Source organism: Homo sapiens, chromosome 3 (genome assembly GCF_000001405.40).
Source record: "Homo sapiens chromosome 3, GRCh38.p14 Primary Assembly".
In the NCBI taxonomy this organism is placed as follows: domain Eukaryota; kingdom Metazoa; phylum Chordata; class Mammalia; order Primates; family Hominidae; genus Homo; species Homo sapiens.
Window position 1 is genome coordinate 21,435,714 of NC_000003.12, and position 15,447 is coordinate 21,451,160.

At 36.3% G+C, this 15,447-nt stretch overlaps 1 protein-coding gene across 20 annotated transcripts in view; it reads right to left on the reverse strand.

Moving 5' to 3' along the window:
* Positions 1-15,447, reverse strand: part of ZNF385D (zinc finger protein 385D) — a 960,546-nt gene that overhangs the window by 23,496 nt on the left and 921,603 nt on the right. For 10 of the 20 annotated variants that reach the window (XM_017007191.2, XM_017007199.2, XM_047448956.1 and 7 more), the window contains 2 exons: positions 5,973-6,029; positions 1,257-1,490 (listed from right to left, as the gene is read on the reverse strand). In XM_017007191.2, the coding sequence (XP_016862680.1) occupies positions 1,257-1,490; positions 5,973-6,029 (291 nt within the window). Of the gene's footprint in view, positions 1-1,256; positions 1,491-5,972; positions 6,030-7,460; positions 7,606-15,447 lie in introns of those variants that run through there. The other 10 variants (NM_024697.3, XM_017007192.2, XM_047448960.1 and 7 more) reach the window with 6 other exon arrangements.

The window sequence follows — 15,447 nt, forward strand, 5'->3', positions numbered from 1 at the left end:
TTCCCAAATATCTTGCGTTCAAGAAGAAATGTATTTGCATGAATAAACACATGGAAAATCTGCAAGGTATAGATTCTACCTTAAGGCCAGGTACTTTTCTGTGTTTCTTAGTACCTGAACTCATGAACTCTCTCATTACAACTAACGTTATATGCTGGAGGAAGGTGTGTGTTGAAGAAATTGTTCTCCATCTGCTATTACTCCTTAGAGTCTTGAAGTCAATACTTGAATATTACCAGTGCAGCACAATGACTGGTCAATGACTCAACATACAGCTGCAATATTAACTCAGGGTATGATTCACAAATGATTCTTTTTCTATTATAGTTGCTGACAGAGTCCTGGCAATGAACCCAGTCTTTTTGAGAAAAGTTGATCTTGGCAATGAATCCAGTCTTTAGAGAAAAGCTGATCATTGTTTGCGAGACTGTGTGTATGTGTGTGTGTGTGTGTGTACACACAGATGAGGGGGTATATATATATACACATACAGAGCAGCAAGATGGAACCAAAATATATGGGTATATTGGGAGAGCATTTTATCCCGGCTTGTCAGTATTCCAGTATTTTCCTCCCTGCTATGAGAATTAGTGTTGAAGTCAGACAGATCTGGGTTCAAATCATGGTTCTGTCACTTAATTGGTTATGTTCTGTGCCTTCTCTGAGCTTCAAACAATTGAAAAGAATAACATTTTTAAGCTACTGCAAAGTTGTTGGAAAGAGTAACTAAAAAGAGTACATTTAGAAATCACATCTGAATGGGCACATAATAAACACTTTTTTAATTGTCCAGGTTCCATAGATTTAGCCCAAATAACATTATTTTTTTCATAAAAATCAAAATAGAGGGGTTTTAACCAAAGGTGCTTAGAGTCACGCAACTACACATTTTGCGACAATATTATGGGTACAGTTTTAGAAAATGTCATTTAGATGCAAATGCATGTAAATAAATAAACAAACTAGAAATCATATAAATGCAAAACACATTTTAGGATTGTATTTCATTTTATCTCCTAATGTTTAATAACACACACATACACACACACCATGGACTTCGAGCCCTGGAAACCACCCCTTGCCCCTATATAAATGACACTTTGCTCGTCATTTTTATTTTTTAATGGTTAATGATTTCCATGTAATAATTGCCAGTTTTCCTCCACCCCTTTGTCCCCTGCTGCAAAAGATCTAATCTATTCAGAGGAAGATAATTGCAGAGCTGTTGAAACAAAAAAGAAATCGCTGCATCTCACCACTGTTGTGCGCCTCCAGCTGCGAGGCAGAGTTGACAGCAACCTTGCATAGCGAACAGTAAAGAAGCCGTTTTGCCTTTTCTTCCTCGGTCTCAGTAGAAGGACATGAGCTATTGCCAGTGGCTGTCGTTGGGCTTTTTTCCACTTTAGAGGTGATCTCAGTTGTCATAACACTGCTTTTGCGGATTTCCACAGTTGTCGTCGTTGATATTGCTGGTGTCCCTGCAGTACCGTCTGTATTCAAAATAACACAGAAAAAAGGGGGAAAAACAATGGTATTATCTTTCCCTATTCAGGAATGTATCATGAATATTGCATTCTGCTTATAATGATAAGAGCAGCTAGCAATTGCTGTTTGTCAAGGATGCATCAATCACCTCACAAAAAAATTCACATAGATGACCATATTTAATTTTATGTATTAAAATAACACTTTCAGATGATTCTTGAACATCAATATAAATACAAGTTAAAAATATTCTATGGGGTAAATATCCACAAATTTCTCTTGTTAACACATAGCCTTAGTACAACAATATTTATAATATATTGTAGTCTCTCAATACATATTTCTAAATGGCTTTTTCTAGATTTTTAAACAATTAAAATAGAAGATAAATGCTTTTAAGATACTTTGATTTTTCTTTACTACTTATCTATTTTACTTCTGTCTTTCATTGTTTCTTTTTTTAATTAAAAAACAGGTACAGATCCTTTTGCAAATGCTTATACAAAAAAAAAAAAAAAAAACCGGAACCCTGATGCCATAATTGCTTTGACCAGATCAACAGTTCAGAAAATCATTGCTCTATTTGCAAAGAGTTACAATTCAACACAAGGTACAAAAATCATCAATATTAAAAGAAGAAGAAGACTAGTCTAGCATATCTATTAAATACATGCCCTGTACCAAGCTGTACGCAGGGAGTTTGTGGCAAAAATATTCAGACATCAATAGCCACTATTCACAAGGAATTCGCAGGATGGCCACACCATGCTGTTGTCACATTGTTTTAAGAGTTAAATGATCATGAAAATGTTGATGCACTGTAACTCTACAACCCTTCTGGCTCTAAAGTCTGATGCTAAATCTGGAGAGATCAATCTCCAAAGTAAAACTACCCTGTCTTAACTTTACTTGGGTATGCACAGCTCCCCTTCCAAATATGCCAATCACTGTTACGTTAGCAATGTTTGCCATACCCAATAACAAATTGCAAATAAGCTCTACACTCATATCCTATCTACCCATATACTACTTTTTTGCCTCTCAGCTAGTTCTTAACTTCCTCTCCAAAATATTCCTAGGCTGCCTCTCCAGCTACATCTGCTATTGAAGCTGTCTCTCATTCCATATACTGCTATGGTCACTATCTAATGCTACACTGAAAAGTCCATGATAAAGAGACTTGGCCAGGATGTAAGGACAAGTGGTCTGTCTGCAATTAAGTGTTGTCTGCATAAATGCTTACTTCTTGTTAGTTCATTACTACCAAGAGTTGACTGCAGCTACAGAATGACTCTTAACTGGAATATCCCCTTTCATCCAGGCATAGGGGTGAAAATATGGGTAAGGTTTTTCATTGCTTTTCTAAATAGGGCATCAGAAACACTAGTCAATAAAAAGAGAAATGAATCCTTGTTGAAGGGCTGTTGTATAAAAAAAACTCATCTGGATCTTGTTTCCTTTGCCTGACACTTCACACACTTTCAATCACTTATCTACCTGCTAAGATCATCAAGTAAGTCTCTTTCAGTGTCATAAAGAACATTCACCTGCCAAGTTTTCAAAATCATGCTGCAAATCTGTGTCTCATGGCTAGAGAAAAATAAGTAAAATTACCCTAACACTAAGTTTTGTCACTAGAATACATTTATTCCCTTGCACACTGAAAGGTCCACTCCCTGATTAGTTTTTATTTGCCTGTTAATGTTCCATTATTAAAATATGAAGTAACTGCCAAAAATATATCTTGAGAACCTAGAGATGGAATAAAACATGACAACTTTAAGATGGTGCCATAGCTGATTATTGCCCCCTATATACCAGAAATGATTGTTTGAAAGCATGTGTGTATGCATCTGTGAATAAACAACAAGTAGCTAATTTGCGAAGTGTTTTACATACTTAAAATAACTGTACATACTTATAAAATAATTTCATTTTTTATTGTATAAATTGTATGTATTTATAAAGTAATTCCACAGTACAGAGCTGCAAAAATGAGAAAACTCTAGAAGTTAAGAAAATTTCCCAAGGACACAAAAGTAGTATATTGTGAGCCCGAGCCAAGCATTTCATGGAACAAGAAAATCAGATTTTGAGGCAAAAAAAAAAAAAAAAAAAAAAGTTGGGAATGATACTCTTGGCCATGACTGTGATTCTGCATAGTAAGGTCACAGGGAGCAGTGGGCTAAAACCACTAAATTGTTCTTAGGATCAGCTCTATCAGGAGTGATAACCGTAAATACAGATATTATATTTAAACTTAGTTTGGCCACACACTGAAGCCAGCGTGACACTGTGGGTATTTACTTCATTGAAATCTACTATGGTAAAGATTTCCCTAGTAATACCCTGCTCTAACAACTTTTCCTCTGGATTGACTTGGTCTTAATCTGAAAATGGCACATAGTATAGATCATAGTAATCCTAAACTAACTTTCCTATTTATAGTGCAATTTGTTAACAAAAGCATAGAATAAACAAAACCAGGAATCTTTCGATTCCTGTGACATCTACGTTAGTGTTTCTCTGACCCCAGAGGATAATGTACATTTAAACCAAAGACAACAGAAGATTAGAGACATCAGATTCTCTGTGCCTAGGGGTTAGTGAAGTATTAACATTTCTTAAGGCAAGTTCCTTGCATGAGACAGGCTTAGGGGAATTAATATCAACACTCAACTTCTGGTGTGTCTACTTTCTGGAATACTTTTGACCACATAGCTAACCATAAATTTGTTATTTTCTAAGCATGTAGTTAGTGTGAAAGAAATAAAAAGTTATATTTTTTATCTTAAATTTAATATGTAGAACTTGACTCCATAAAGATAGGAATACTATTAATTTTTAAGTAGTAATGGATTTTTCACTTACCTTTTAACAGTGATAAAGGGGTGTTTTTTAAACCAAGAAAGTAAGGTAAATATATTTTAGCATTATGACTTATTCAAAGAAAGTCATCTGTTCTATACAATGCATACATATAGCAAAGAAGTTTACTTTAATATGGTACATTAAATTACCAGTTATAAATAATTATTGTCCACACATTAAAATAGAATCTTAAATGAATGATAATGTTAACAGCAGCATATACCCTTGACATGATGTGATGAAAATTACCTCTGTGGGCTTCCTTCTCGTAACCCCTGTCTAACCATGAGAAAAACAGAAAACAAACCTAAACTTAAGGACATTTATCAAATTCCTGACCAGTACTCCTCAAAACTAGCAAGGCTATCAAAACAAGGAAAGTGTGCAGAACTATCACAGTCTAGAGGAGCCTAAGGAAATATGAGAAATCAGTGTAACATGGGATCCTGAATGAGATTCTAGGGCAAAAGAACATTAGGTAAAAACTTGGAAAATCAAATAAAGAATGGGCTTTAGTTAAACTAATGTATGAATACTGATTCATTAGTTGTGATAAATGTACAACATTAATGTGAGATGTTAACAATAAGAGAAGCTTGATGCAGGGTATATGGGAACTTTCTGATATATTCTTGAATCTTCTCTGCAAATCTAAAACTATTCTAGAGTTAAAGTTTATTACTTTAAGAAAAACAGAATTATAACCAGTCAACAAATGGTGCATCATTCAAGTTACTTTGTAGAATCATAATCAGAAAGAAGCTTAATGGCTTTATAGCATAGTTTTCTTAATTTTTAGATAGAGAAGTTTCAGGAAATTTCTCAAGGTCACATAGTGCTCTGAGATAATAACTAAGACTTGACATTGTATCTCCCAATGCCAAATCTAGTGTGTATTATCTTACCTGCAGTTACTCATGCACTCAAACTTTATTACATCAACATTTATTAAGGAACTATTTTGTGCTAAGTTCTGTCCCAAGCCACTGGGGATAAGAAGGCCAATAAACATAGATCATGTACTTAGTGGCAGAATAGTTTATGAGACATCCCATAAAGACTTGAAATAATAACTATTATTATAAACTTCTTAATCTGCTTTATTCTTTGCTATATTCTTGCACTTATACTTGGCATGAAATGGGCACTCAATAAATATTAAGAGAAAACAATGAATAAATTAATAATAGCTAATCATCGTGGAAGCACTTTTAAAGTATTTACAAGTATTAACTCATAAAAAACAAGAGGTGCACAACATTTGCATTATCATCATAGCAACAAAACTGAGGTATGGAGAAATTTGGGAACTTGCCCAACGCCAGAGCTGCCAACAGGTAACACAATGATTTGAACACAGTCTGGCTCAGTTGCATGTGCTCTTCATTTGTTTTTTATTGTTTAAAATTTAATTTTTTATAAAATAATTGAATTCATCCTGATTTATTATGCATGCTGAAAGACAACATCTTAAACATTTGACTATAAAAGAAACTAAGCGTGGCCCAAGCTAGAGTCAATTACGTATATCCAAATACCATAATGCTAAGGTATTAAGTTGCTTAAAATCATTTAGAAGGAGGAAAGAAAAGGAAAACCTATAGCTCTCAACTAACCTCTTGTGCAGAATGGTAAGAATAAACCACAGGGCTTCATTGCACCTTTTTTTCCCCCTGCAAAAGATGAGAAAGTAGGAAAACGATTCGCTTTTCTTACTGTTTCCCAAAGGCTGATTCAGATTTCTTTGCACTACTCTACCAAAGACTCTGGGACAATATATGTGACAAGGAGTTAAAAATAATGGGTGAAATTCAGTGAGAAGAGAAAGATTTGAGATGGTTTGGGCTTGCATTTCTGTGCCATTTTTCTGCCAGCGCCCTGTAGCAAATATTCATTACTGCAACTGTCACTATTTGGCTTTGGCATCAAAACAGGTTGCTAATACGTTGTGGAATGGGGCTTCAGTTGAGAATAAAAGGAAACATCAGTATTCAAAGTGGCCCATTTGTGACCTTCGTCTTGTATAAAAACACTGTAAATACTTCTTTAAAAAAATCCATAAAGCATAAGAAAGGATTCCAAAAAATATCAACACTTGAATTTTGGATAGTAACATGGAGCAGCCAAGTTACATGGTCTGGGCAAGAAATTTATTCCTCTGGTTACAGACTTCATAACTGAAGTGGAAAAACCATAGGTGAGTTACTAGAGTTTCCTCTCAGGTAACAGGGATTAGTGTTATAACCCAAAGATGTTCATCATGTTTTCCTGTAGATTGAAGGCTCAGAATTACATCTGATTTATTTTCTTCTTTCCTATGTGAATTTAAGTCTCACTCAGACTTGCTAGGAAATGAAGAAAACAGCTGCTTCCTCATAAATGTGCTGACATTCTGAAGTAGAAAAAGGTGCTTCTGACCAAAAACAAAAACAAAAACAAAAACAAACCACCAGTCTTTAGAAATTATTCCTGGTGGTTTCTTTTCTACCACTTTTATCTCATTTAACTAAAATTTATTGAGCCCATACCACACTCTTAGACCCAGGCAGGAATGGCCTTGGCACTGGGCTGTGCTTAAAAGTCCCTTTATTTGTGGGCTTTTTTTTTTTTCTTGTAAAATAAAAAAAGTTCCTACAGGGTTCTGTAACCAATTGAGCAGATGGGAATTATGGGAAAGGGAAGTGAGAATTGAACTGGGTGCCCCAAAGGCCAGAGTACAGAGGCTGGGAGTTCATAAGTGTGTGTGCACACTTATGAGTGTATATGTCTATGTGTATGCATGTGCATGTATGGCTATATGTGTATATCTGTGTATAAGTGTGTGTGTGTGTGTGTGTGTGTGTGTGTTGAGAGGTTGGAAGATATCACAACTTCTATCTGGAAACCAGAGAAAGAGTGGCTGTTTTTGTACACAGTACACATTTGGCCACCCCAAATCACAAAAATGTATGTCTAAGCAGAAAAAGTCCCCCTGCTCTGAATTCCTCACTCCCGTCTGCTAGAGTGGTATAGCTGTAGAAAGTGCTTTAAACGGCCTAGAAATCCCAAAGCCACCAAATGAGGCTGTGGAGAAATCAAGTGCTCCACTCCACTTTGCAGGGTACCTGATTTGGGTAGGTCCAGTCACCAGCCAGAAGTTCTGGCTTTGGGCACTGCTTCCGCTCTGTTCTTACAAATCTGCTTCACTACCAGGCTCAAGGATGATTCAGGTGAGGGGATTCTTTATTCTCCAGGTCCCAAGGACAATTCCTGGGGAACAAAGTGTGGAGTTGCTAGGCGAAACTTGATACATATTTAGATATATGGCATATAGTCTCCATTTGTATGCTCGGTCCTGAAAATTTTGGGGGTCTGTCTTATAGAACCCATCCATATACAGGATGCTGTGTTAATCACAGGAGGTAAAAAATAAATGCAATATAAGTTGTATATGCAAGAGTAATAGGACTCTAATATAAGAGTGGAGGGAACAATGAATTCACTCTCCTTGAGAAGAATAAGCTGGAAGAAGTATTACTAGAAAACATTAGAAAAATGAATTGCACTTCAAACTGATTTCACTGTGTCTCTAATGGTCTGTGACTTGGTAGTTCCATGCAAAAAGTAATCACATATACTTTTCATCAAGTGACAAGTTGTTCCCCATAGTAGCCTGCATGAAACTCTAATGTTCTAAGGGATTGGGTGACTATACTATTTCTTTCTACCTTTACATTATTTGAACTAAATTTCCCAAGCCTTGTATGCATTAAAAATTTTAGAAAGGAGATTTTAAAATTTACAAAACAAAAATATTGAACTGAAACTTTTGAGATGATTTTCAAAGCTGTCCAATTTATTATCTGTTTGAGGCAATTACATCAACAATAGATTCATATACATAATGGTTACTTGTTGAACTCACTATGTGCTACATGTATTACATGCAAATTAGACCATACGTTATTCTAATGAAAAATATTAAGGCAGAAGCAGAGCCCATTTAAAAAATTTAACTTCTGGATTTCCCTCTTTTTTTTTTTTTTTTTGAGACAGAGTCTCGCTCTGTCACCCAGGCTGGAGTACAGTTGCACAATCTCGGCCCACTGCAACCTCTGCCTCCCAGGTTCAAGTGATTCTCCTGCCTCAGCCTCCTGAGTAGCTGGGATTACAGGTGCGCACCACCACGCCCGGCTAATTTTTTTGTATTTTTAATAGACATGGGGTTTCACCATGTTGGTCAGGCTGGTCTTGAACTCCTGACCTGACGATCTGCCCACCTTGGTCTCCAAAAGTGCTGGGATTACGGGCGTGAGCCACAGCACCCGGCCTTTTTTTGTTTTTTTTTTTTTTTGAGATGGAGCCTCACTCTGTCATCCTGGCTGTAGTGCAGTGGCGCAATCCCGGCTCACTGCAAGCTCCATCTCCCTGGTTCAAGCAATTCTCCTGCCTCAGCCTCCTGAGTAGCTGGGATTACAGGCACACACCACCACGCCCAGCTAATTTTTTTGTATTTTTAGTAGAGGCGGGGTTTCACCACGTTGGCCAGGCTGGTCTTGAATGCTTGACCTCAAATGACCCTCCCACCTCGGCCTCCCAAAGTGCTGGGATTACAGGTGTGAGCCACTGCGCCCAGCTGAATTTCCCTATTGATGCCAAAGATCAATTAGCTTCATAGGGACCGGCCATTTTCTACAAAGATCATGTGATTTGAGAGGGCAATGTGAGAATGCTTTTATTTTGTAGGATAATTTATCCAAAATTTAGGCAATTCCTATTACTCATTCAAATTTGGGGATAAACAGATTACAGAAGCAGGTTGCCAGGACAGAGCACAGTTGCAGAAGCCCCCAAAAAGAGGTGGTGATCAGGACCAGGTCACACACCTTGACTTGGGTCAGGCAACTGAGGGTTAAGCTAATGAGATGAAGAAGGGGCAGGAAAGTTGGACCATGAAGGAGGAAGAAGCAGAGGCTCCTGAAGCACAGAGTCTTGACACGAATTGTCCAGTCCCCTGAGGAGATAAGTAGGATCCCATATTGGCCAGCCAAAGCTGAGACCTACTTTATATCTTCAACCTCCACATCTCCGAAATGTTCTTAACCTCAAAATGGACCTTTCTAGATTAAACTGGGATTTCATCAAGTCAAAGCGTATATTCTCTCTAGACAATGGGTCTCCCCTACAACCTAAAAAGAAAGAAGCCAACAGAAAAAGACAGATGTAAAAGGGTGACTGACAATAACAGTATTAGGGACATGACTAAACACTGCTCATCTCTCCAGTGGTTACAAGACTGATCAGGTGGCTTGACTTAAGCTCGCCCTCAGAATACAAGCTCTCTATTTAAAGAGAGATAAGCTGATTAGAGTTAGTATTATTACTTTTTTTCTCTACAAGGTAAATTGCCCTCTTTCTTTTCTTTAGCATCTGTAAATTAGGGACTCATTCTAGGAAAGAAGCCTTGGCATGTCTTTTTAGCCTAATTTAATATCAAAGCATTGTCCTTAGTTGATAACAATCACCTCAGCAATCTATATCAATGTCTTATCATGTCAGTGCCTTAATTTCTAAGTCAAAGAGGATTATATTCTCTACTCATTTAGTATATAAATATACTCCATAACATAACTAGAACAGTGTCTGCCAGACTGTTGGTAATTGATAAACACGGATGCTGCTGCCATCAAATTTGTTAGGCATTTGCTTATCTTTTAAAAGTTGGAGTTATATCCCTGTCAGGTAGGTGCTAGACTGAAAATTGGCATAGCAATAAAAAAGCATATCATTGACCTCCTAAGTGAAATTTTCATCCTTAATCATTTTCCTCTTATAATTTTTCAAATAATATTTATTTCACTCTTTTCTTTATGCTCCTTTGGCTCTCAAAACATCCCCCTATCATGGGGCCAAGATGTTGGGGAAATTTCACGAATCAAAAAGAATCCTATTAGTATAAACTAGTGATTGTGAGACTTTAGTATGCGTCAGAATCACCCAAAGAGTTTGACAAAACACAGACTGCCCAGCCCCAGCATCAGAGTTTCTGATTCAGTATGTATAGGGTGAGGTCTGAATATTTGCATTTCTAACAAGTTCCCAGGTATTGCTGTTGCTGCTGATCTGAGAACCACACTTCAAGAACCACCACTGACAGATCTGCCAATTAGTTTCCGGTTTAGATTAACTGGTCTCAGCTCTAAAGCTAAATGTCATTTAAACAGCAAGTCATGAATGCAAGAAGAGGGAAATGAGAGATTGAGTGACCAGTGTCCTTGTTTTCCTGAGGGAACTGAGGGAGTTCCTGCGACATGGGACTTTCAGTGCTAAAATTGGCACATCCCAGGCAAGCCAGGGGAAGCTAGTTACTCTAAAAGAGAACCCTGGAAAAAAGTAGAAAATTCTTTAAAAAATTTTAGATACTACCTAATCAATGAACTTTTTTTTTTTTTTTTTTTTTTTTGAGACAGAGTCTCACTCTATCATGCAGGCTGGAGTGCGGTGGCACCATCTCAGCTCACTGCAACTTCTGCCTCCTGGATTCAAGTGATTCTTCTGCCTCAGCCTCCTGAGTAGCTGGGATTACAGGGGTGTGCCACCACACCTGGCTAATTTTTGTATTTTTAGTAGAGATGGGGTTTCACCATGTTGGCCAGCCGGTCTCCAATCTCTGACCTCAGGTGATCCGCCCTCCTCAGCCTCCCAAAGTGCTGGGATTACAAGCGTGAGCCACCGTGCCTGGCCTAAACAAACTTTTCTTTGAGAGATGCACTTTTTGATAACAAATGAGGAAGGATAGAGACACATTCTGATCTTTGGAGCAGAGAAAAATACTAGTGGGAACCTAAATAACCTTCTATTGATCAGTTAAACCAGGGTTTCTTTTGTAAGAATAAACTTTTCTCTCCCTAAATTAGAGTTTGTATATTTCTAGGGGAATTAATTTTCCACTTTGTTCACAGATGTTTAGTATAAAGCACAGTTCATCCTCTCCAAATATAATTTAAGCCAAAATAAATTAATCCAAACCTAAGTTCATCAGAAGGTAAGATTGTTAGGCCTTGTTCTAGTTAATTGAGTGGGTCTGGCTATTGTACATACAACTGATAAGCACCAAGACAAATGGGTGAGTTTTATCAAAATTTGTGAGCTTTTGGATAAATATTACGAAAGGGAAAGGAAAAGGAAGACAAAAAGAAACTCAATTTACTCCGAAGGCATTTTAAATGATTTGGATGCCACTAGATTAGGAAACTGCCTTTTCATGCTTCTAATAGAGATTTTATTTTTCCTCCAGTAGGGCAGAATGAAAAAAAAGCCCTCCAAAATCTATGAATGGTAGCACCCCTGTTCCAAGAGCTTTCAGAGGAAAAAAATACTGCATGCTGCAGTAACAGTTTCTGTTTCATTAATGAGAAGAACTGTGTATTGGAAAGCTCAGTTTGAAATCTGGCAAGAAATCAAGGTATGGTTTTTCAGTGATTGCCTTTGGTAGTTCATCTGTTTAACATATGTAGTAATGGCCTTCCTTCTGCTGGCCATGTGCCTTAGGTTAAAAGTAAGGGTTTGTCATGTGTCCTTACTATCCACGATATCTAACGGTTGGAATTATGACATGATAAATCATGAATCTTGAAAGCTTTTACTAATTGAAGTTGAACGAAAAGTGAGAGAAAGCTTACCTCTGACTGGTAATTTAGAATGAGTAGGGACTGCAAAATGTGAAGATAGTCAAGCCAAGTTATTTAGGACACAAATACTCACTCTAGAATCCTGTTAGGCAGCACATACCATAAAAATGAAGAAATAACAGCCAGCTCTTCAGTTTTTTTGTACTGTAGAGCTGTCTTGAAGATAAGAAAACAAGCTCCCACAATAAAGGGTGCAATGATAAAATATTGAGTATGGAAATAATTTAGAACATTATCCCATCTGGACTCAGGCATTTTGTTGTATGTGCAAGAGTTATAATACTTAGCATTTTTCATTACAGTGTTAGTATTTCATAGATTAGCTATGCAGAAAATGTTTTAATCACCAGAAAGTTACCATGATGTAACCGATATGCACTTGCCACAACACATTGCTCAGACATCTAGATTAAAGGATTTTTCATATTTCAGGAGACTAGAAAAGGAGTTTTCAGGGAGTAAATTCCACTGGATAAATCATTGAAAATGGTTGACAAAGAGGATGGAAGTATAGAAAAGGAAATGAGAAAAATTACAAAAATTGAGAAAACATTTTTTTAACCAATAATCTTTCAGCAACTCCTGAGCATTCAATTTCAACTATAAGCTGAGTTAAGACTCAAACTACCCATCATTTCACTCAAAACAGCAATGTATTATTATTTTTCTCTCTGCAAAGAAGGAAGAAAAATGGGGGTCATCACATAACACAATGATTTCTTGATAGAATTTCTCTCTTCAAAGTAGTTTCCATGTTGTGTTAATATATTTCAGCCAAAGATAATTTTTTAAGAGCTGGAGGATAAATAAAAATCAGAGAAAACATGCTAATAAATATAGAATAGGAGAAATCAAAAGTCTACAGATTATTTACAGAAAGACTGGCCACTGAAAAATTGTTAGAACTGTTTGGAAAATAATACGATACAATTCTGGAACAAATGTGTCTCTTCCCCAGCAAAGCTAACAGACCTGTTTCTAAGAAGCCAAGATTCCCTTTCTATCTCCAGAAACCACATAAACTAGATTTTCATGAAATTCCAAATATAAACTTATCATCTCTCCTGTTATTCCCATTAGCTATCACACAGCTCCAGAAATTCCAAACTACAGCAAACTGCCCCAGCACCAAAATTTGCCAAACTATGTATTATTCTTTTCACATTTGAGAATACATTCATTGTAATTGTATCACCATTTCATCAAAGCGCTAATTTAAACATTTAAAAAAGTCGATCTTTCTTTTTTTTCTGAATATGAAATAACAATTTTTATTTTCTTAGGCTTCATTTAAAAATTGTTTATTTTAGCATTAAGCAGCTATAAATCTAATTATTTAAGTATATATTTAAGAAAAAAATGACTTATTGGTTAGTTCTGTCAATCAATTTTTAATTCAATACTTTAAATATATTTTACGGCAGAGTTATATTAATAAAGTATGCTAAGAATTAATCTCAAAATAAATCTGTGTTATCTCTGAAACCATCTATACTGGCCATTCTGATCCTGTAAAATGCTCAGTATTTTTATAGCTACAAAAAAAAAAAAATAGAAATCTAGTCCCATGTGACTGACCTCTCAAAGGATGCTGGCATTTCTATTCCATTTCACTCGTTGGGATCTTGTTACGTAAGAGTTAAATCACAACATCGTATTGGAGCCCATTTGATATAAATAGAAGTTCTAATATTTCACCATTAATTTTGATAAGATAATGTTTAAAATATAATTCATAATTAAGCTTTAGAATAGAGTCATTGTTTTATTTAGGATACATGTTTGTATAGCTGTTTTTTATTATCAATATTTCTGTTACTTTTAACAACAACCCAACTGTGAAATTTAAAAGCTAGCACTGTGAGTAAATTGTTTTGCTTCATAGGTCATGTTTTAAAATTGTTAATTTTCTTGGTACATAAGATCTTATTTCTTGTATATCATGTTATCTATAAATGGGTTTTACAGCAAAAGTAGGTTATTTTGAAAATGTTTCTCTAGCAATGAAAAAGCCTTATCATGGATGTGAGACTAATTTCGTTCACATCCTTACTGGCAGATTCTTCTTGCCCAGGTAAGAAGCCAGGCCAAGAATTCTAGCAGTCCAGGACTGAATGTGTTGAGTCAAATGTCTGAGTGGACAGAGAGTGTGTGAGGCAAATCAAGCCTGATACTTGAAAGGCTGTTGCCAAGCGGTCAAGATCACAGCCAGGACACAACAGTCAATTCACAGGGCTGGGGAAAGAAGTCAGAGCCAGAAGGCAAGCTGGGTGAGAAGAAAAAGGTCCCAGGGTATCTGAGGACTTGGCCTGAGACCATGGCAGGCAGACAATGTATTGACCTTGTCAAGTTATTTTTAGCATGAAGTCCTTACCTCCTTGGGCAGGGCTGTCAAGGTTTTATTGAGGAGGGTGCTCATGGTCACTACCTGCACCTCCAGAGGAGAGGAGGAGAGGCAAAGAAATGGATGGTAGCTGTGGATCTAGAGGCTTTGTGCTTTCTTTTATGCTCTTGGACCACACATTAGGAAACTGTGCAAAGAGAGCAAGGACTCATGCTTTTTCTTTTTTCCTCCTCCTCTTTTCTTCAAATTGCCCATTCTTTACCTCAGTAAAAGCAAAATAAATAACTGAATGAAAGAATGAATAAATAAGAAATGTATGTATGTATTTCTCTCTTTAAGATTTCAATCTGCTCCCATAAGTCATCCCTAATTGAGGACATTTCCAGAGAAGGCTAATTAAAAACTTTTTTCAAGTTGCTGGGGGAAAAAGAAAAGTGATGAAGGATTGGGCAGATTGGCTAATGGAGTTGAACTGTATGATTTGGTTCAGTGAAATCAGTTTTTCTCAGAAGCTCATCAAGACAACCCTGGATAGAACTCAGTTTTATAAAAATACAATGCTTTTCACCAAAATAAATTCACTTAGATAATTCAAGCGCACACATAATTCTAAGTGTTGGAGGAATTCTTGAAGAATGCTTAGACATTGAAAAAAATGTATTTTGTCTCACACAACACATGATATGTGCATTTCTAGCACTGCAATGCCATAATTTCAGTAGTTATTTGCTTTTCTTTAAAACTTCAGAAAAATTCCACTATGATCTAACTGTCAAAACATAATTTCAACACTGGTAAGAGTTTCCTTTCTGGCTGACTTGTCAATCTGAGTTAATAAATGTTTCCTCAGCCTGGAAGTTTAATTAACTTAAGTTGAATAGATCTGAATGAGAGAAATTATTTGTATTTGCTTATTAACTTTTTTTTCAAGATAAGACAGAATTAGAAAGGAAAGAGACAAGTAAGAGACACATGTCTTATTTCCCCTTTTAAGTTACAGATTTATAGGGAGAGAAATTTTGTGAGCTTCTCCTTTTAAGGATATTTTTATCAGTTAGTCCAGATGGATCAATATGA